The sequence below is a fragment of the Homo sapiens genome, chromosome 2, assembly GCF_000001405.40.
Source record: "Homo sapiens chromosome 2, GRCh38.p14 Primary Assembly".
In the NCBI taxonomy this organism is placed as follows: Eukaryota; Metazoa; Chordata; class Mammalia; order Primates; family Hominidae; genus Homo; species Homo sapiens.
This window is the reverse complement of record NC_000002.12, coordinates 199,606,060-199,628,643: the sequence shown is the minus strand read 5'-3', so window position 1 is coordinate 199,628,643 and position 22,584 is coordinate 199,606,060. Positions and strand designations below refer to the sequence as shown.

At 40.6% G+C, this 22,584-nt stretch overlaps 1 long non-coding RNA gene across 1 annotated transcript in view; it reads right to left on the bottom strand.

Moving 5' to 3' along the window:
* The window catches only part of LINC01877 (long intergenic non-protein coding RNA 1877), a 51,065-nt gene extending 30,489 nt beyond the window's left edge, over positions 1–20,576 (bottom strand). Inside the window, exons 1-2 of the long non-coding RNA NR_110270.1 lie at positions 20,517–20,576; positions 4,048–4,112 (exon numbers count right to left, since the gene is read on the bottom strand). This is a non-coding gene — a long non-coding RNA (long intergenic non-protein coding RNA 1877). The remainder of the gene's footprint in view (positions 1–4,047; positions 4,113–20,516) is intronic.
* Between the last annotated feature and the right edge of the window lie 2,008 nt (positions 20,577–22,584).

Below are 22,584 nucleotides of genomic sequence, written 5' to 3'. Positions count from 1 at the left end.
TTCAGAATAAATGCTCTTTTTTTTTGTAATTTCAGCTTTTAAACTGTTTTTTAGGTCCTCAGAAATCTCATAGGCCCCAGATGTTATGCATTTTATGCCCAACGTGTAAAAGAGCTTGGCAAAGTCCACTGGCTCCAGCGAGCATGGCCATTCATTCATTGCCCATTTTGTGTGCACTATATATGGAAGAAGACATGGTCTTTCCCATCAGACCTAAGGCAAATACTTTGAAAATTTATTGTCACTAAGAAGCCTCCCTGACATTACCAATAAATATACTATTAGAGAGTCTGCTGATCCTGCACCAATGTAAGCCAGCAAAACCTTGAGAAATTGGAATTTCTGGGTCTTCTAGAAAGGAATTTGGGGTGTCTCATAGTTAACCAGAAAGCATGTTTCCTTTAGTCCTTCTTGTTTTAGCTTACTCTCTAGCCCTAGTGAATAGCATATGTGGAAAAAAATGAGATCTTTCATGATGATGATTATCACGAATAGGCTCTGAAGGTGCATCCATTTGGAATGATCCAGAAATAGTTTCTGGACATTGATTTTCTTCTTTAAAACAAAATTTCTGCTTAAGACTATTTCTATGGCCTTGAATTTTTTGTGACAAAAGTGGAGTGCAGCAAAAATTCTGAGTTACCTTTGCTAGTTAGTGTTTTTGCGATGTCACAATACAAAAAGCCAAATGAAACATTTAATCAATGTAATAGATTATTAGCTGTCTGCTCTGAAACATTATCTTACTCAAAAAATTTGAGAAAAAATCCTTTAACTTCACGGGCAATATTTTATTCTGCACCTAATATTATAGGCCCTTATCTTTCCCTATATCACGACTTCTAACATCTTCAATAGGAGATATATTTTTCTTTTATATTAAGGAAAAAGATGTTTCCTCAAACATTTATCATGATGCTGATAGACTTAGCAACTACTCTAAGCTCCACACTACATTAAGAAAAGAAGTCTCAGTATTTCTGGTCTATAAAGAAGAATGATGATGACACTCTCCTTGCTCTGATTCACTCGTTGACTCATTCTGTACACACATTTATTCATTTAGCAAATGTTTATTGATCATCTACTCTGTTAGGTACTAGCAAGACACAGTATTAAAAACTGGAAATGTCTTCACTTCGAATTTAGTATTTTATCACTAATAACACACACACACACACACACACACACACACACCAACAATATCCAACAGGATGGTGTAAATAAATAGTGGTCCCAGTACCATTATTTTTTGTTTCTGGGATTTTAGTTCAATAAATGCTATTTATAGGCAAGGCCCTACATTGGGTGCTGTGTATGAATATTTCTTGATTCATTTCTTCAACAATAATTCACAGAATGTCAACAATTTGCCAACACTTTGCTAGTCGCTGGAGCTACAGAGGTTAACAAGAAGCAGTCCCTCCTCTCAAAGTGTCTCCCCTTTCTTATGGGGTCAGCAGACATATACATGAACATATACAAACCACATAATAGGTGTTACAATGGAACCGGCATTCCAGACAGAGTGGGAACACACCCAGGGAAGGCTTCTCAGATGAGCTTTGTAAGCCATTTTGTTATCCAGACCCTCCAAGGATGCGTGTGCAGCATCCCTAAGGGGAATTGTTTATATTGTAGACATCATTAATCAGTATATTTTAAACAAGAGTTTTTAAAGTTAACAAAATTAGTATAGTTCAACATTTCTCCAACAGAGGAAAATGAAGGGTCTTGAATAAGGTGTGTGTTTTTCTAGTGTGCATGGAGATGCCACATAAACTAGAAGGCTGTGGAAGAAGGGCATTCCAGTTATGGAAAATGTGCACAGCATAGATCAGCATGGTGCATTGGAGGAATTTTAACTATTATATAGTTTTATATGATTGAATTATAGGGTGCCAAGCTCAGGTGTAGTGAGAGAGGCTGAAGACAAAAGCACAGGCTCAATCACATTTTTTTTCCTTCCTTCCTTCCTTCCTTCTTTCCTTCCTTCCTTCCTCTCTTCCTCCTCCCTCCCTCTTTCTCTCCCTCTTCTCTTCTCTCCTCTCCTCTCCTTTTCTTTCCTTTTCTCTCTCTTTCTTTCTTTCTTTCCCTTTCTTTCTTTCTTTCTTTCTTTCTTTCTTTCTTTCTTTCTTTCTTTCTTTCTTTCTTTCTTCTCTCTCTCTGTCTCTCCTTCCTTCCTTCCTTTCTTCCTTCTTCACAGAGTCTTGCTGTATTGCCCAGGCTGGAGTGCAGTGGTGTGATCTCAGCTCACTGCAACCTCTGCCACCTCCTGGGTTCCAGCGATTCTCCTGCCTCAGCCTCCTGAGTAGCTGGGACTACAGGCGCATGCCACCATGCCTGGATAATTTTTGTATTTTTAGTAGAGACGAGATTTCGCCATGTTGGCCAGGCTGGTCTTGAACTCTTGGCCTCAAGCAATCCAACCACCTCGGCCTCCCAAAGTGCTGGGATTACAGGCATGGGCCACCACACTGGGCCTTGATCACATTCTTTTAATACCTACACTTCTACCCAGGCCTGTTGTTAGCTTTCAGCATCATAACTTAATGTGATATAGTTTTCCCTTCTTCTATAGTAAACGAGATGTTGATCCTTCACAGGATCCCATTACTTAAGTGGGGATGTTGTGACTTCATTCTAATTTCTTGGGGCATGTATAAAAGTCAATGAGGGATTTATCAATACTATTGAACTCCATAGAGGAAACCTTCCTCCAATCCTGTATTCTTAGTGCTTTTTTTAATCATAGGACAATCTTTCTCAAGTCATGGATCTTGTGTTTTTTGGCATTACAAAAGAATCTCTAGGATTCTATGGATCTGAGAACTATTTTTAATGCAAACCTCCTCATTATGCAGCTTTTTCACTCAGGTTATTCAATATTATTTCCTTTATCTTACTAGTCCTTTTACCCTAACTTGGTTGGATAGAAGTCTCTTTCACTGTCTTTCATTAACATCATCATTTTTTATTTGTAGCATATGGTTATAGATACAGCTTAGTGTAGGTGAAAATATCATTATTCTTAAAATGAGCAGAACAGTGGGATCTAATATCTTCAGTAAAAGCTCTTTGTTTGCAAATAGCCTACTGGCAAGCACCCTGGCCAGCATCCATTCTCCTGGGAGAGGGTCATGTTCCAACTGGTGAATGCCTTCTCCCACAGGTGAGCCAATTGGTAAAGATTTTGATTGACACCTCTGATTGTAAACAATAGTGAAGAACTTTGGCTAGGTTAAGAAAAGAGAAATTAATGGGAAAGACATGGAAGAGATAAAGAAACAAAAGTAAGACCAAATAATCATATTGGGAAAAGTTCAGGACTCAGGGCAGTCAGATTCTGGGTAGTAGAAAGTAATAGTATTGGCAAGTCACTGCCTCTAGACAGAGTAAGCACCCACCTGTCCTTGCTATGCTGTGCTCAAGACTCAGTCTCAGGAATGCAGTCTGTCTGGTGTACCTTGGCTCAGGCACTCATTCACTGGCTGGGGGAACAGGGACATCTTAATGGCAGACCTCTCAAGACTGTTCTTTATGGGGTCAGGTGATTTCCTAAAAAGGAAACTGGAGTCTTGTTACCAAAGAAGTAAATAAATAAACGTATGTGTGTGTGTGTATGTGTGTGTGTGTGCTCATGGTAAAAAAACTTCACAATTTGGCTGGGTGCAGTGGCTCACACCTATAATCCCAGCATTTTGGGAGGCCAAGTGGGAGGATTGTTTGAGGCCAGGAGTTTGAGGCCAGCTTGGGCAACATTGAGAGACCTGTCTCTACAAAAATTAAAATATTAGTCAAGCATGGTGGCACACACCTGTAGTCCCAGCTACTCAGGAAGTTGAGGTGGGAGGATTGCCTAAGCCTAGGAGGTCAAGGCTGCAATGAGTTATAATCTAGCTGTTGCACTCTAGTCTAGTTGACAGAGTGAGACCTTGTCTCAAAAAAATAAACAAAACAAAAACCCAAACCCACAATTGTCCGTTATGGTGTAGTATGGTATACTATACAGTATTTTTTCTCTTTTCCAAATTATGAAACTCTTACCTTCCTTTTTTCATGGAGGGGAGATGTTGGTAGAGGAGTTTTAAGAGCCTCCTGGGTTTTAGGAGCTAGGAAATGGTAAGAAACACACAGAGACAAGACTCAGGAGTTTATTTCACCATTTCGGATTTCCTCAGTCAGATTTTTTTTGTTCCATTTTATAATTATCAATCACATGAACTTGAAAATGTGAAAATAGAAGAAAGAAAATCATTGGGGAGAGGAGGATTTTTTAAAGGAAATTTTTTTTTGAAACTTGACTTAGAATAATGGGATTTCTTCAATTTGCTGTATGCAAAGTAACAGAGAGCTTAGTGTATCCCAGAGATGGATTAGACAGATGTAGCACTTAACTATTAACATTTGTGAGGTTCATTCCCACCAGTGAGATTTGTGAGCAACTTCCATGAGATTCTACGCAAAATCAGCTTAGTACTTTCCTCATTTGTCACTGCGCCGTGAAACTGGTAAAATATAGAGGAAACAGAAAATTGGGCACATCTGTGAATTTGGTTGTGCCCTGATTATAGCAATGCAGTTCCACAGATGTGCATGTTTTCACAGGAGAACAGGTTTCTATTTGACTCCAAGCTCCATCAATGCTCAGCTGATATTTTATAGCCCCCTGTGGGTTTAGCATACCCTCCCTTTATAGAGCCAAAACAGTAGCTTAGCTATAAGATTCACTGGCACCACTTTGGTACCTATTTTCTTAAATTATGGCAAATGGGGATTTGTGGCATACCTATATCAACTCCACCTACATATTTTCCCATGATAGTGCTTGGCACATTCATGCTACCTCTCAGCAGAGAGCCCCAAACATTTAGTAAACATTTATTCTTTCTTCCATCAAAAAGAGTTTGGTAACTTTCATAACTCCCATTTTATAGAAGCATAAAAATGAAAGGCCCTTAGCTTATTAAGGAAGGAATACAGAAGTATAAGTATTAATGATCTGTTTCCTTCTCAAAACAAAGTCAGAAGTGCTTGAAATTGAAATAACATCAGAGATGGTGTTGATATATTCAACTGTTTTCTGTGTCAGAGGTTCTCACAGTTGGATGTGCATGAGGATCATCTAGAAATCTGGTTAGGACAGAGACTGCCCATCGCCATCCCCAGAGATTCTGATCCTGGAAGTCTGGGGTGGGGTTCTAGCATCTGCATTTGTAACAAACACTTTTGCTCTAAGTGATTCAGAAAACCACACATTGAGAAACAAATTTTAAGACCATAAATAGAGAAACAAAAGCATAGTTCTCAAGAGACTACAAATCCTCTCCTTCTCCAACCACGCCCTGCCTCTCAAAATTATTCCATTTTTGAAAAATATTTCTTGAAAGCAGCTGTCATTGTCACCATAGTTGAGGAGTCCTCAGAAGGAGAACTAATTGCAAAAGAAAGGTAATAAAGTAAAAATTATAGCTTGAGTCTAGTTTTGGATTCATTTGTGTAGCTAATCAAGGGAACATGGCCATCTATGGCTAAGGATCTCAATTTGTCCCACCAGGGCTTGTAGTCTAGAACCACATGGGTTATTCAGAAGAAGCAGAAGCTGTTTCCAGGGGCAACCAACATCTCTAGGAATTTTTCTAACATCCATCAAATGGCTTATCTTGTGGCAAGTGAGCCTCCTAAAACACATTTGGCCTGTTACCATGATTCCACTAAAGACTTTTATGACCATGGTAATAATGACAGCTAACATTTATTATTTACTATATGCCAATCAACTGGTATTCAGTTTTGCATTTGATCCTCCTGACAATCTTATGAGGCAGATACTGTGTATAATGATTTTACAGTTGAGGAAACTGAGATAGATTAAATACCTAGCCACACAGACTAGTAAGGGTATGAAGTGAGTAAGCCTTGATTTGAAACATATTTTATATATCATTGAGTCCCTGCACATAAACGCTATCATCACATTGTCTCTCTTGGTAGAAGGACAGCGAGTTGGCCGGGCGCGGTGGCTCATGCCTGTAATCCCAGCACTTTGGGAGGCTGGGGTGGGCAGATCACGAGGTCAAGAGTTCGAGACCAGCCTGGCCAATATGGTGAAACCCCGTCTCTACTAAAAATACAAAAAATTAGCCGGGCATGGTGGCGCTCACCTGTAGTCCCAGCTACTCAGGAGGCTGAGGCAGGAGAATCGCTTGAACCCGGGAGACGGAGGTTGCAGTGAGCCGAGATCGTGCCACTGCACTCCAGCCTGGGTGACAGAGTGAGACTCCGTCTCAAAAAAATAAAACAAAATAAAATGAAAATAAAGACGGTGATTTACAAGGGCAAAGTTGTTCAAATGTCTTTGGAATAGAAAAGGAGGATATGGGAGAATTACGCCCACTGCTTATAGGCAGAGGAAAGTAGGATTCTCATTTCTCAGAAATCAGACTACAGAAGAGGATTGCACTAACTTACATACCGTGTATTATTCTCCATGTAATTATACTGAGTAAAATACCTTTAGAGTAATTGTATACATAATCAAATATTGCACAAAACTAAAAGCTTGAAAGTGCCTGCCAGCCTCCTCCCACCCTGGATCAAATGAAATCCTATGTACTAAACCATAGTTATAATTTTCCCCCTGGTTTCACTTGGATTTCCTTTAATAATGTTTGATTGTAATTAAAAATCAGTGTATATGTGGAATAGAGAAAGAAACCAAAATTACTCTCTTTTGTCTTTTAGAAAAGTGACAGTTATAAAAATGCTCAATATAATCAATTCACTCCCTGCCCCCACTATTGAACTAGCATTTTATCAACCACAAATATGCTTCTCCACATAAGACAGTAACTACAGTTCTGTGGTAAATGCAACAGGACTGAAGTCATTGCCAAAGAAGCATCAAAGCTTTCAGAGTGCTATTGATGTGCTCAGTTCATAACTCAAAGAAAGAGCAAAGAGAAGAAAGCCAATGGCAGGAATGGCTTCAGGCTATGCTTTCAAAATAGGTTTAATATAAAGGCTAAAATGGCAGTAAGATACTCATATATAAAACAGATACCTGCTGCTTAGCAAGCCGAATGGAATGAGTTTCCAGAAACTCTCAATGTTCAGGCACCACTGATCCCAGCAACAAAAGGCTTGAAAAAGATAAGAGATTCTAATAGTTTATTCTGACCTAATGTTGTCTGTGTGGGAAATCTAGAGATCTTAGTGATGAGGCATTAGGATTCATTCACTACCTTTGTCAGTCCTGTTGTTATTAGGATCAGGAGCCAGAATATTCACAGGTTCTGGGATCTAATTCTACTGTTCAGGATGAAGTGACTGACCACCATCCAGAGGCATGTCCTGGACATCCAGGAGAATCCTAGTCTGTTCTTGAGTAAACCCACTTATTGGGTTAAAAGTCAGTCACAGCCCTAGGTTTTGGAGGCACTGGCAGCAGCAATATTATTTGAGAAATTCTACTCTCTGCACAGCTACTCAGAGATATCTGACTTCACTTGTTTATAACACTGTCTTCTCCCTTTCTACCTAGCTTGATGTTGCCACTATTAGGGTTCTGCAGGGACTGAGGCTGAAATCAACACTTGCCACCTAGTCACAGACTTTCATGACAGCCATGTCTTTAATGGAGAAGAATCCCCTTTTCATTTCAGGAGACAACGTGTTATAGTGGGAAGAGGGCAGTGCTGGAGGACATACAGAATCTCGTCTAATCTGAGAGTTGTCATTTATTAGCTTTGACACATTAAGCAAGTTACTTAATCTTTCTGAGCCTCGATTTTCATCAGAAAGTTGTACTAAAACTCAACTTATAGGGTCATCCTAAGGAATGGAGATACTAGTCAGAGCTAAACAAAAGATGACTTAGTGTGGTTGTTGAGGTGATGAAAGCAAAGTAGAACAGTTAGTCTAGCTCTCATTTTTTTTTAAAGGATAGGGTTCATTTTGGCGATTTTCAAAAGAAGATGGAAGAAGGGAAACAAGGTCACCTGTTTTTCATGGTTGAGGGAAGATACCTGGTGGTAAGCAACTAACAATTTTCTCCAAAGAGAATGAGGTGGTACTAAGTGGGGGCAGAGATTGGTGGAGTGAGATGGGGTTGTGGTCCCTTTGGGAGATGCCAAAAGAAGAACTCACCAAAGATGACCTCAACTCCTTCACAACTCTTAAAGTCCTTCTTGACTCTACTTGAAAGCGGATGCTAAGTATAGCACTGGGCAGTTAGCTGTAAATGAAAATTATGGCATCTGAAAGTGAGATGATTGGGAAGTCAGTGACAGTCTTTATGCAAAGATCTCTGAGACCCCAAATTCTTCTTGCTAGAAATAGATAGGTATTCTCCAGGAGCGTCTGTGGCTTGTCATTAGAATATTCTTTTCCTGGCTGGGTGCGGTGGCTCATGCCTGTAATCCCAGCACTTTGGCAGGCTGAAGCAAGTGGATCACCTGAGGTCAGGAGTTCAAGACCAGCCTGGCCAACATGGGGAAACACTGTCTCTACTAAAAATACAAAAAAGTAGCCAGGCATAGTGGTGTGCACCTGTAATCCCAGCTACTCCAGAGGCTGAGGCAGGAGAATCCCTTGAACCTGGGAGGCAGAGGTTACAGTGAGCTGAGGTCGTGCCATTGGACTCCAGCCTGGGCAACAAGAGCAAAATTCCGTCTCAAAAAAAAGAAAGAAAGAAAGAAAGAAAGAAAACAAAGAATACCTTTTTCTCTGAGGTCTTAGGCACTAAGGCTGGAAACCAACATAAACCTAAAAGGAGAGGCCCTATGCCCACAGGCCATCCACAATGCATCAGAGAAGATTCCTCATCCTTTCCAGTCTCACAACTCTCCTCTCTGTTCACATGAGATTCCTGTGGCAGATATATCTCTTCTGAACAGCGCTTTTAGTCTACAGACTATAGACAGGCATACTGGTGTATTTTCTCAAACTTCTCCAGCAGTTAGTGTTTCAAGAACACAAGATTAATTAGAATTAATTATACATTTGAAAAACAAATCTGGCTGTTTGGCAGAAAACAAGAAGTAATAATTTTGTAGATCACATCTTTTTACATTTCTCCATTTAAAAATATGGATTTTGTTTCATTTTTTTATGGAAAATGTACTTTTGAGTCCAAGTGACATAACTAAAAGAACTGGTGATGATGAGTGAAACTCACATACCTATTTCCTCACAACCTTAAAACCTTTTTCTTAATTGGCAAGAACATTTTTTTTTTTGAGTTGGAGTCTCACTCTGTCGCCCATGTTGGGGTGCAGTGGCGTGATCTTGGCTCACGGCAACCTTTGATTCCTGGGTTTAAGCAATTCTCCTGCCTCAGCCTTCCGAGTGGCTGGGACTACAGGTGCATGCCACCATGCCTGGGTAATTTTTTGTATTTTAGTAGAGACAGGGTTTCACCGTGTTGCCCAGGCTGGTCTTGAACTCCTGAGCTCAGGCAATCCGCCCACCTCAGCCTCCCAAAGTGTTGGGATTACAGGAATGAGCCACCGTGCCTGGCCACATTTCTATTAAATGCATAAAAATTACAACCTTCTAAAAGAGGCCCAACTGTATATAGAAAATAATAAAAATCTATAAGGCGATGATTTTTATGACATCATGGCCTGTTGCTATGGAAACTATGATGAAGCAGATTGAACAATATTATGCCAATAGAAAAGGTAGGTATAACAAGGGTGAGAGTTGAGAGAGAGTGAAGTCCTATATTACTGCATAAATACCTTACATAATTAGAAAATGTAGCAGAAAAAATGTATAATATGGAAGTAAAAGGTAAATAGATTTCTGTTTGATTGGCTTGAAAATTATCCTCATCACTAAAAACAGAATCTTCAAACTTGAAATATAAAGATGATTACTTTTTAATTTAGTGTACATTTTTATACTACGCACAGCCACTTTGAACTCCTTAGTCTTCACCATCTGTATAACTCAATTTCTGTTTTATAAAAAAAATGGCTGACATCTGTTTAAACCTTAATATCTCCACAACCATGTAGAATGTTAACTCAAGCTTGATGTCATGTTAAATCACTTGAGCCTTAAAATAATATTAAACTTATGGTTCTGTTTCAACTTTGTAATGATACTACATTTAACCCTTCAGATATTCCAAACTGTTCACCAACGAAAAATCTTGGGCAAAAAAATGAAATCAATTGTGGACCCTTCATTTTCAAAATGATGCTCCATTAGGGATTGTCTAAAACCAACCCAGAATCTGGAATCTTAGAATATAATGGGCAGTTAAAAAGTCGGTAATTTAGTTTACACATGGGAGAGTCTGACCTCACTAAGACATCTTCTCTTACTGACTATGGCAGCTGATTCTGTGCCTGGGCCAACCCAAGTCAAAATTGTGAGGTTATGAGAATATCTTGCAAAAAAATGCAAAAATTAGCCAGGCATGGTAGTACGCAGCTGTAGACCCAGCTACTCAGGAGGCTGAGGTGGGAGGATCACATAAGCCCAGGCAGTTGAGCTTCACTGAGTCGTGAGTGTGCCACTGCACTCCAGCCTGGGTAACAGAGGGAGACTCTGTCTCAAAAAAACAAAACAAACCCTTGGATTTATAAAGTGTTGAAAATAAACTGAAGTCCTTCCACATTCATGTTCTGATTAAATTTTTAGAACAGCATTGGTAAATGCAGTGGTGAGGTACACCCCAGATTTCTCTCTCCACCTTCACCTTCAGGACTGAGGTTCCTGTTCTCCCAGCTGCCAGGATTCTTGCCTGTTGATGGCTGACAGTGAGTTCTTCCCCAGGAATTGCCCTGAGCCTGAAAGGTGCTGCCTCACACTAGTGTATGTCCCTGCCACAAGGGCAGCCCATATCCAATGAGGTCTTTGTCAAGAAGGAGGCGACAAAGACGAGGCCCCTCTCACCTCAATTCAAAACACCTGTGCAGGGCTGTCCCAGCTCCAGAGATTCCCCAGAGGATGGACTGAAGACTCTGTTGCAGTTCAACCTTTCCCACTGCTTAATCTTGTTCCTTATACACCCTCCCCCATACATATTGTTCCTACAAGTATCCTTAGTGAAGTCTCTAATTTTTGGAAGTAGGTCATCTGCTAGTTGGCTGGCAATGAGGTTCTCATCCTTGGTAAATAGATGGAATATGAACAGTCTCTAGCATTTTGTAGCCGGGCAATTGTTAAAACTTTATCTGACAGAGAACTGGGATGAAGTAGAAGGGAAAGGAAAGCACTGGCAGGTGCAACATCTCAGATGTTTGAGAAATTCAGAAAGGAGTAATTATAAAGACAAGGGAATTAGGTTGCTCTTGTTGAGTGTGATCAATGCATTGGAAATAGACAACGAAAAGGTGAGGGTAATTCATGACCAGTGTAAGGGAGAGTGTGAAATTCAGAAGCCTCCCCAGAAGCACATGAAAGGACAATCATCCCCTGCAGCCACAGAGCAGAAATAGTTGAGGATCAGGCCTAGGACTTAATTATAAGAGTAGCTGCGCACCAGAGAGAAATTTAAATTGTCAATCCCCCCAGCAGAGTCCTAGTTAGGAAGAAGTGGGACTCTAGGACCTGGATGGGGATATCTGGGTCAGTGCACTAAAGAACCTTGAAATCCCAGGTCCTCTTAGACCCTTGGCATATGCAAAAGTAACCCACTTTTCCCTATTAAAGGATAGCACTCCCCCTTGTTTGAAGACAACACAAAGTCCTCTGCTTTGCAGGACAACACATTCCCTCCCCTTTGCCCCTCCTTTAGAATTTACTCCCAATTCCACTCTTGGCTGCTCACCAGTTATTAGGGACACACCATAACATAACCTGATGGAGGATATGCTGGGCCTGTGAAGGGTGGAAAGGGACTAGGAACCGAAACAGTTGTATGACCTAGGAAACCAGGAACCAACAGAATACATATTGGACTTTTTGATGGCTCTGGATCAAGGTTTACTGGAATATAGAGCTGACTAAAGGTTAATTTATCAATATGTGAGCACCTTCCCATCATATGGGTGATCTTGGGCAAATACACAGGAGGCAGTGCCAATATATTGTTGGTCCATAGTAAGTGAAAAAGAAAGGGCAGAACTGCCATGCAAATGGTGAAAAATGGAATCAAAGGCTCAAAGAAAAGCTCAAAGAGGATATCCTGGGATAAATATACTTTATGAAGCCAAAAACACACCAGCCAACTGTGTTCCACAAGTTGGACTAAAAAACACTCTGTTTACTAAAGTAATAAGGACTATACTGAAGAGAGCTTCAGCATCCTTAAAGACTCAGTGATAACTTTCCTCTATAGACCAGGACAAATGTAGGAGATGCTGTTACAGAACTCAGTCCCCTAGCAGATGAGGAGATGATGGGATCTCAAAATAATGAAGGCCAAGTAGTGGTACTTAACAGTCAGCATCCAGGTTGATGGGACTGCCATAATGAGTACAAGTTCAGAGCACATCAAGAATTGTGCCTGACCTGCAGAGAGAGCGATAAAGATGCCTAGATCTCTAGAATAAGTTGGACAGTCAACAACAGTATTGTTCAATTTATATAGTCAGCAACAATTAAGGGTTGATTAGGGCTTAGAGCAGAATAGGTGCCCAGTTTCTGAATCTGAGCCAATTTTCAGATTCAGAACTTTTTGAATGAAGGGGAGCCTGGGCCATAAACAGGAAGACTCCAATATCATGGTGAGATTATTTGGTAATAATTTGCTTGTGCTTTGTCAAAACTATCTATGGCCATTTAATCCAGTAACTCATCACAGGAGGACAGTGAATACCTAAATATTTCAAGGACTATTGGACACAGAATTTGAATTAAAATTAATATTTGTTGATATTTGTCATCATGACCTCTTAGAATAGGAACAGTGGGAGCTACATAATAAATGAAGTCCTGGCTCAGGTTTGGCTATGGTGTGTTCCCTGAGTCCATGAATGCCCCCAGTGGTCATTTTGCCAGTACCTGAATGTATACTTGGATTGGACAGACTTGGGAGTTGGCAGAACTCAACATTGATTCCTTGGCCAATAAGATAGGAGCCATCATAGTGGATAAGGCAAGTGAAATTCTCCGAAACAGCCCTTAATTGTCCCCATCCTTTCTCATCCAAGATGGTAGACGAAAACCAATAATGCATCCAAGGGTCAAAGATAGAGAATAAATGTTACCCCTACAGTTAAAAGACTCAGAAGAAGTAACGATTAATTCCTAATTTATCCTTATTTAGTTCACCAACGTGTCTTCTACAAAAAAATAAAGTCAATCCTAAAGAATGATAATAGACTACGCAAACTGAACCATACAGTAACCCTATTTATCGCTACCATACTAATTATGGTTTGTTTGCTATAGCAGATTAGCATGGTGCATGCTCAAGTACACAGCATCCATTCACTGCCCTGGTGAATGTAGTCTTTTTTTTTTTTTTTTTTTTGAGATGGAGTTTTGCTCTTGTTGCCCAGGCTGGAGTGCAATGTCACAATTTCAGCTCACTGCAACCTCCACCTCCGGGGTTCAAGCGATTCTCCTGCCTCAGCCTCCTGAGTAGCTGGGATTACAGGCATGAGCCACAGTGTCCGGTTAATTTTGTATTTTTAGTAGAGGCAGGGGTTTCTCCATGTTGGTCAGGGTCGTCTCGAACTTCTGACCTCAGGTGATCCACCCACCTTGGCCTTCCAAAGTGCTGGGATTACAGGTGTGAGCCACTGCGCCCGGCCTTGGTGAATGTAATCTTTCCCATTCCTCTTAGAAAGAAAGACCAGAAACAATTCGAGTTCACATGAGAAAGCAACAATATACATTTATGATCTTGTGCCAGAGCTATGTTCAATCTCTTAGTTTCCATTACCCTATAGGACTGGAACATCTATACATTCTACAGAACATCATCTTGGTTCACTATTGATGACATCCTATTAATTGAACCAGATAAGCAAGTAGAGGCAAGTGTGCTGGAGGCGTTGGTAACATGCACTCCAGAGGGTGGGTGATAAATCCAACGAAGATTTAGGAGCCCATAAAGTTTTTAGGGGTCCCATGATCTGGGATTTTTGACAACATCCCCACTCAAAACAAAGGACAAATTATTTTGTTTTGTATCTCTGATTATTAAAAAAGGACCATAATGCCTGGTAGGGTTCTTTGAATTTTGAAGGAAGCATCTTTTGCATTTGAGAATATTGCTCTAACTCATTTACTGAGTGATAGGGAAGTCTTCTAGCGATGAAAAAGAAATGGCTTTGCAGAAGGCTCATATGACAGTACAAGCAGCCCTGCTTCTTGAAACATATGATCTACTAGACCATTGGTATTAGAGGTAAGTGTGGTGGAAAAAGATATTGTGTAGAGGTTGTGACAGGCTCCAAAAGGGGAATCGCAACATCGGCAGCTGACCAGAGCCACACTGTCTGTAGTGGAGAACTATATACTTTTCACAAAACGGCTACCCGTGTAATATTAGGCATAAAAAGTCTGCCCACAGTATAAGTGAGCATGCAGCCAGAACCACCTATCAAGGAGCTGGATTCTTTCAGAATCATCAAATCATATTAATTAAGTGAGCCCTGCAGCAATCCATTGTAAAAATGGAAGTGGCACATCTGGGATGGGGCACAAGTAGGTAGTATAGACCCCTTTGTCATGGTTCATGTCACAATGGTGCCTCTCTTGCAGATCATACTTATAGCTGAATCATCTACTTAACGTGGAAACAGAAGTGGCCTGAAATGAAAATAATATACATATGGATTTATGAGTAGAAGAAAATGGCTGGTTGGTCAGGGTGTTGGAAGGAGAAAGATTGGGAAGTCAGAAACCAGACAGCAGGTCTTGGGAGTGATCTTGAAGTATGAATATTTTTGTGTAGCATGTTAACATCCACCAGAAAGCACCCACCAGGAACAAGGCCCTTCCTTGTGGAATGTATGATAGATAGAGATGATCTTGTTGACAGCATAAAGATTTCTCTACCTTAAAGCAACAGTGCTCCTTCCACAAATATTTATCAAGTGGCTAGTAGGGATCAGGCACTGTTCTTGTGTTTGGAACAGATATATCAAGGGAAAAAACAGGCAGAAATCCCTGGGCTGGTGGAGTTCTAATTGCTGTACTCCACAGCTTACTTCAATTTGACATTTGTGAACAAAGCAGTTGTCTTCCTTACCTTGATCACTGTCAGGAGTGTTTTACAGGCAGCCAAAGTTTGCTTACCATGAGTGTGAGTCCCTTGTTTTCACTAACTTCTATGGTTTGAACGTGTTCCCCAAAAGTATATGTGTTGGAAGCTTAGGCCTCAATGCAGCAGTGTTGAGAGGTGGGACTTTTGGGAGGTGATTGGATCATGAGAGCTCTGTCCTTAAGAATAGATTAATGGTTTATCATAAGAGAGGGTTAGTGATCATGAGAGTGGACCTGTTATAAAAGCCAGGTTGGCTCTCAGTGTGCTCCCTTGTCTTATGATGCCCCACACTACCACAGCACTCTGCATAGAGTCCTCACCAGCAAGAAGGTCCTCACCAGATGCAGCCCCTCATCTTTGGACTTCCTAGCCTCCAGAACTGTAAAAAATATATTTCTTTTCTTTATAAATTACCCAGTCTCAGGTATTCAGTTGTAGCAAAAGAAAACAGACTAAGGCACTATGCCTCCACGTCAGGGGTTGGCAAATTATGGCCACTGAATGTTTTTATAAATAAAGTTTTATTGGATCACAGTTACAACCATTATGTCTGTAATTGTTTTTATGCTAGTACAGTAGAATTGAGTAGTTTTGACAGAGATTACATGGCCCACAAAGTGTACAATATTTACCATCTGAGCCTTTATAGTAAATGTTTGCCAACTCATTCTGTGCAAGGGCTCTTGCAAAAGGAGGATTTTGAGTTTGAAGAACTTTGTAGCGACAGGAACCTCCCAAAGTGAGGAGAAAGCCTGACTCAGCTCTTTATGAGAGCCTGACTGCAGCCTTATCATAGCTTGTCTTCAGTCTGAGATGGACATTTTATAGATGAAAGCTACTGCTTTGCAACTCAGATTTGTGTCCTAGACATAGGAGGACAAATTTTGAGACAAATTTTAAAATAGAAACATTATTTGGCTGAGCACGGTGGCTCATGCAATAATCCTAACACTTCGGGAGGCTGAGATGGGAGAATCACTTGAGCCCAGGAGTTGAAGACAAGCCTGGCAACATAGTGAGACCCCATCTCTACAAAAACATTTAAAAATTAGCTGGCCATGGTGGCATACGCCTGTGGTCACAGTTACTGAGAAGGCTGAGGTAGGAGGATCACTTGGCCTGGGAGGTCAAAGCTGCAGTGTGCCATTAGTGCACCAATGCATTCCAGCCTGGATGACAGAGCAAGATTCTGTCTCTAAAAAAAAAGGAAGAAACTTATAATTCAACAACTATTATTGGCTATACACCAACAAATGAAATAGATTTATTCCTTTCCCTTATGAATCTTACAGTCTAATGGGGGAGACAGATACAAGAAATTACAACATAAGTAAGTATTTAATTACAAACTGTGAAAAATGCTATCTAGGAAAATAGTAGCCTTGTTGTGGCTTCTCTTTCCATTGTACTGGCATATGATAAGAGGAAATAACAGGATGGGGGTGAGGGCCCTCTTGCTGTTGGGGATTCTCTGCAGAGTCCTGAGGTGGCACAGGGCATCACAACCACCGTTACCTAGGTCAGGGAAAGACCTTGGGATCTGCAGGATCAATAGGAGGTAACCAAGTAGGGTGGAAGGGAGAACATTCCAGACAAAGAAACATCATGGAGGAAGTCACTGAGGTCAGGAAGAGAAACAGAAATACAGGAATATGCAGCAGAAGTGCAGTTAACAAGGGTAAAAGGGGCTGAAGATGAGACCAGAGTTGCAGGCAGCAGATTTGTAAGCCATGGGAAGGAGTGGAATTTCATTCTAAGAGCCATGGAATGTTTCAGCATGGATGATATGGCCTGCCTGGTGCTTTGAGAAGATTATTCCAGCTACTGTGTAGAAAATGGATTACAGGGTACAAATGTGAATGTCTGGAGAAGAGTTCTGAAGCAAGAGGTGATGATGACTCACGCTAGGCAGTAAAAACTGGAAAGAAGTGCATGGAATTGAGGCATGTTTTGGAGGTCAAAAGGACAGAAATGGGTGACTTTTTAAGTAAATGTGGATGTGTACATGTGGTGGGTGGGTACTGATGGAGAGGAGAGGACTCATGAATGACTTGGGTGGAGTGGGGGTGAGGGTAAGGCTGAACAAGAGGAGACAATTCAGGAAAAACAGTGAGTTGTAAAAATGGAATTCTCACAATACAGACACAAATGATCCTGTCATTAAAAAAGAGAGGCATTGCCGGGCGCGGTGGCTCACGCCTGTAATCCCAGCAGTCTGGGAGGCTGAGGCGGGCAGATCACGAGGTCAGGAGATCGAGACCATCCTGGCTAACACGGTGAAACCCCGTCTCTACTAAAAATACAAAAAAATTAGCCGGGCATGATGGCGGGCGCCTGTAGTCCCAGCTACGTGGGAGGCTGAGGCAGGAGAATGGCGTGAACCCGGGAGGCGGAGCTTGCAGTGAGCCCAGATTGCGCCACTGCACTCCCGCCTGGGCGACAGAGCGAGACTCCGTCTCAAAAAAAAAGAAAAAAAAAAAGGGAGGCATTTTGGAAACAAACCTGATTGCACAAGTAAGTCTTTGATGGGCTCAGATTTAAAATAAAAGTATTTTTAAAATATAAAAATAGAATATTTGCCATATTTGATATATTGTCATATATCAACAGTATATGAACACTGTCAGTATTCAACATACTATTGAAACAAATCCCCCAGATTCCTTTTTCAGTTTCTGTATATGCCTTTGCGTCTACCAGCCAATACCTGGAAAAACCTTCAGAAGACTGCAGTTGGACTACTGCAGCTGCTCACGCACACACACATACACGCACGCACGCACACACACACACACACACACACCCCGAGAGCCAGAGGGACCGGGCAGTTTAAGCTCTCACAGACACATCTTCCACCCCTTTCCCTGCCCTGTTCCCCCAGCCAATGATCCACTGGTGCAGAGTATGAAAGCCCAGGTTTCTGGCTTCAACTAGGAAAAAACCTGAGGCACAATTTAACTCTAGAGTTTTCCTACAGGGCTGGGCTGAGGTTGACTTTTGCTTGGATCCCATCCTTGCTTCGTTTCTTTCTTTTTGCTGTCTTACTTTCTTCATTCCCTTACAGGATTTTCCTGGGTTCACTTCCTTAATAAATCTCTTGCATACACACCCTTGTCTCAGGATTCGATTCTGAGAAACCTGTCCTAACACACTTCCCAAGGATATATACTATAGAATAGCGTGAATTCAAATAATCGATCTAGAAAAAGCTAAAATCCTTAAGGAAGTGAAGCTTGCAAACAAACAAACACTATTCCAGCTATGTTTCCAAAAGGAAAAGAAACAACAAAAAGCTAGGAAGTTTTATGGCATAGAAAGTGACATATAGGAAGCTTAAGTTCTCAACTCCTGTGTTGAATCTATCTAGTCTAGCAAGGAAAATAATCTCTTCCAAAAAGAAAGAGTAGAGCAACCTTGGTTAAGAAAATAGAGAGGACAGAGCAGAATGTACTAATTTCAATATATTCACATCTCTGGTCTAAGGCAAGGCATAACCCGGAACTTTAAGTAACATTTCATGATGTGATCTCATAAACACTTGTAGATTTTTGAGAAAGTATAAAGAATGGGGAAATTGCTTGGGTAATGGAGCTGGAAAAATGTTTTCCTGATTTTCGGAAAAGGGAAAAATGTAGAATGATAAATTTGATTGTTAATTGCTTCCTAGTTTCAAGAATGGATAATCAAAGAGACAAATACTAGAAAAAAGTGCAGTGAGGCCAGGCACAATGGTTCATGCCTGTAATCCCAGCACTTTGAGAGGCCCGAGGCAGGCAGATCACTTGAGGAATTCAAGACCAGCCTGGCCAACATGGTGAAATCTCTACTAAACAAACAAAAAAATTAGCTGGTCGTGATGGTGTACCTGTAGTCCCAGCTGCTTGGGAGGCTGAGGCAGGATAATTGCTTGAATCCAAAAGGTGGGGGCAGCAGTGATCTGAAATCACACCACTGCACTCCAGCAGCCTGGGTAACAGAGTGAGACTTTGCCTCAAAAAAAAAAAAAAAAAAAAAAAAAAAAAAAAAAAAAAGAAGAAGAAGAAGAAAGAAAGAAAAGAAAAGAAAAAAATGCAGTAATTACTAGGTACTAACATAGGATCACAAAGAACCTTTCACTTTTAAATTGGGTTACTGGGGGTGGGGTTTGGGGGAGGGAGAGCATCAGGATAAATAGCTAATCCATGTGGGGCTTAATACCTAGGTGATGGGTTGATAGGTGCAGCAAACCACCATGGGACATGTTTACCTATGTAACAAACCTGCACATCCTGCCCATGTACCCTGGAACTTCAAATAAAATAAGATTAAGTAAAATTAAAAAAAAATAAATCAGGTTATTGAGTAGAATATTCTTGACATAATGAGTAGTTATGAGTAAGGTGTTTGATAAAGGCTCACATGATTGGTTATCTTGTGGACAAGATGAGGAAATGTTACCCTGATGATTGTGAAGTGTAATCAGAACTGGTGTCAATTAATAAATTGAGGTTAACCTGGAAAAGATGTTCTTGAGAATGTGCTGTTGGGAGCTTCAATTCAACATTTTCTTCATTGATCTAGGTGGCTAGCACAATCTCCTATGCTCTGGCCTTTTCCATTCCTGAATTCCCACCAAACCTGCTTTCCTATTTCCAATGCTTCAGCCCTTCATTGCTCCCACAATGTACCAGCCTCCTCAGCTGCATCTAGTGACTGGGGTGGCATTCACACACACTCCAGCATACGCCTCAGTTTTTCTGTTGCTCTCAATCTAGAAATATTTCCCCTTTGGAATAATTCAACCTTCCATTTTCTTATGATTCTGTCTACTGAGAAATATTCGAGAAAATTGCAAACTAATAGCTTTCAATTCCAGATGTCCTTCCTTAGAGTAATTTCTTTTCTCTCAAGTTTTCTACCCTCTATGACTAACACCATTTATCGAAGATGAAATCCCCAGAGTACCCTGTTCTCTTCCTTACTCTTTATATAATTTTTGTTTGTTTTTTTTCACTCCTCTCAGCTCATACTTATTCGCTCTTTATATTTAATTGGTCATATAGTCTTACTTATTCCACCTCTGAAAAATTCTGAATTCTGTCTCCTCTTCACTCCTATTGTCCTTGCTGTACTTCAGTCCTTATTAACTCTTACCTGAAATATTGCAGTAGCCTCCTAACTGGCCTCTCTGATTTTGGTGTTCTTCTTTGCCAAGAGAAGATGCTTCATCATCCCAGCTGCTGCTGGAGATGTTCTGCTAACATAAACAGCTGATCAGGTTATTCCCCTTGCTTGAAAGTCCCCTAGTTTAATCTCCTTAATGGGGTAAGTAACGGCAGTCAAACCAGCTGATCCCACCTACCTCTCCAGTTTCATCTCTTGGGCTCCTCATCTCTGTGTCTCTCTAGATGGCGAATGCTTTGAAGACAAAGATCTTATTCATTTTTGTATTCCTCTTTCCTAGAAAAACACCAGATACATAGTGGATCTTTTGTAAATTAGTGAACAACTGAAAACACGGAAAAAGGCTTTTCAAATTATTCAGGATTCAAATATGCAGAGGGTATCATGGCAAAATAAAATTAATAGAAAATACAAATTTAGAAAGATTTCAATATGCTATATCTGAAACTAATGAAACTATTTTAATGGGGACCAATGATTCAAAACTTAACTGTGCAAGAATAAAATGAAGGAGGCCTGCTGTCTTAGTCTTTTTAATTGCTTGTAATGGAACAGCTGAAACTGAGTAATTTATAAGAAACAAAATGTATTTCTTACAGTTCTGGAGGCTGGGAAATCCAAGGTTGAGGGGGCCCATCTGGTGAAAACCTTCTTGCTAGCGGGGGCTCTGTACAGAGTCCTGAGGTGTATCACATGGCAAGGGGGCCGAGTGTGCTAAGATGCTTGCTCAGGTCTCTTCCTTTCTTAGAAAGCCAGCAACCCTACTTCCATGATAAACCATTAATCCATTAACCCATTAATCCATCAACCCATGAATGGATTAATCCATTCATGAGCACAGAGCCCTCATGATCCAATCACTTAAAGGTCCCACCTCTCAATATTGCCACATCGGGGATTAAGTTTCAACATGAGTTTTGGTTGGAAATAATCAAACCATAGCACCTACCTTACACTCAGTTAGGATGAAAAATACCCAGGGGTTTTGTTGTATTACAACTGAATAGTGGCCAGAAGTGTGTTCTGGCTAGCAAAATTTTATGAAACCCTAAGTTACATTTCTAAACAAAGGACGAGATAATGGAGAATATGGTTCCACAATCATTTGTGCTGGCCAGAACAAAACTAGGTTTCAGGGACACTGACAGCTGAAGCTCAATCAGAGAATGGCATGTAGGAGGAGGGAGGTTCTGGAAAATATTCATGTGAAGAACCATTAAAAACTGAGAGTATTTACCTTAGAGAAGAGAAAACTTAAAGGGAATATTAGTTTCCTTAAATTTTTGCAAAGTGACTGTGGAAGTGTTTGATATTAGCTGAGTTCTTCTGAGGGCAGAACTAGCATGAATGAAATGGCATTAGAAAGGCAGATGACTTCAGTTTTATATAATGAAGACATTTCTATCAATGAGAGTTATTAAACAAATACATGGGCTATTGTTTGAATTTCTTGAGAACTGGAAATGTTCAGGCAACAGCTGAATGATGGTATGTCAGCAGTATCGGAGAAGGAATTCTAGACGGCCTCCAAGATTTTTCTAACGCCAAGATTTTACAGTCCTATATTTTATTTTTAGTTTAATTTTAAAGGAGACCACCGAGAAAATCCATTTGGAAACTTTCAATAACAGTGTAAGGTATAAAAATCCCAAGCCACCAACTAAATTTGTCTAAAAGGCAACCCCTAACCTCCTTGGTGAAGGCCTGTCTTTTGTTTCATTGTTTTGGCGCCCTAAGCACCCACAAGGGGGTGCTTGTGGGGAAAGGATCATGGATGTGATTAAAATCCTTATGGCTAAGCTCAGGATTAGAATTAGTAGTTAAACAACTGTGCAAAGATGTTTGCAAATCCTGATGAGGAAGCAAAGGTAGAGAGAAAAATGTCCAAAATGGAACCTTCATCAGACCCAAGAATTCTCCTTTGTTTAAGTCCAGAGGAGGCTAAGTAGAAGCAAACACAGAGGAAGCATTTTGTTATCAACTCCAAGGCCCTAGAGCTGAACTCCTCAACATGTTCCTCTCTGTGTCTTTGGCTGCTTGCTCAGTTGCTTGTTTTCTCCAACTACAAAACATAGAGACTAAAAGGCACCACCGATCCCATTCACCAGAAGCCGGGATTCATGAGTTAATGTCTGCAAAGCATTTTGAGCTTGTTGGAAGAAAGGCGCTAGATAAATACAAAGTGTTGTTGTTATTATAGGGAAGAAAAAGCAACTGTTAGCTCAGGGTCTATAATTAGGAAGCAA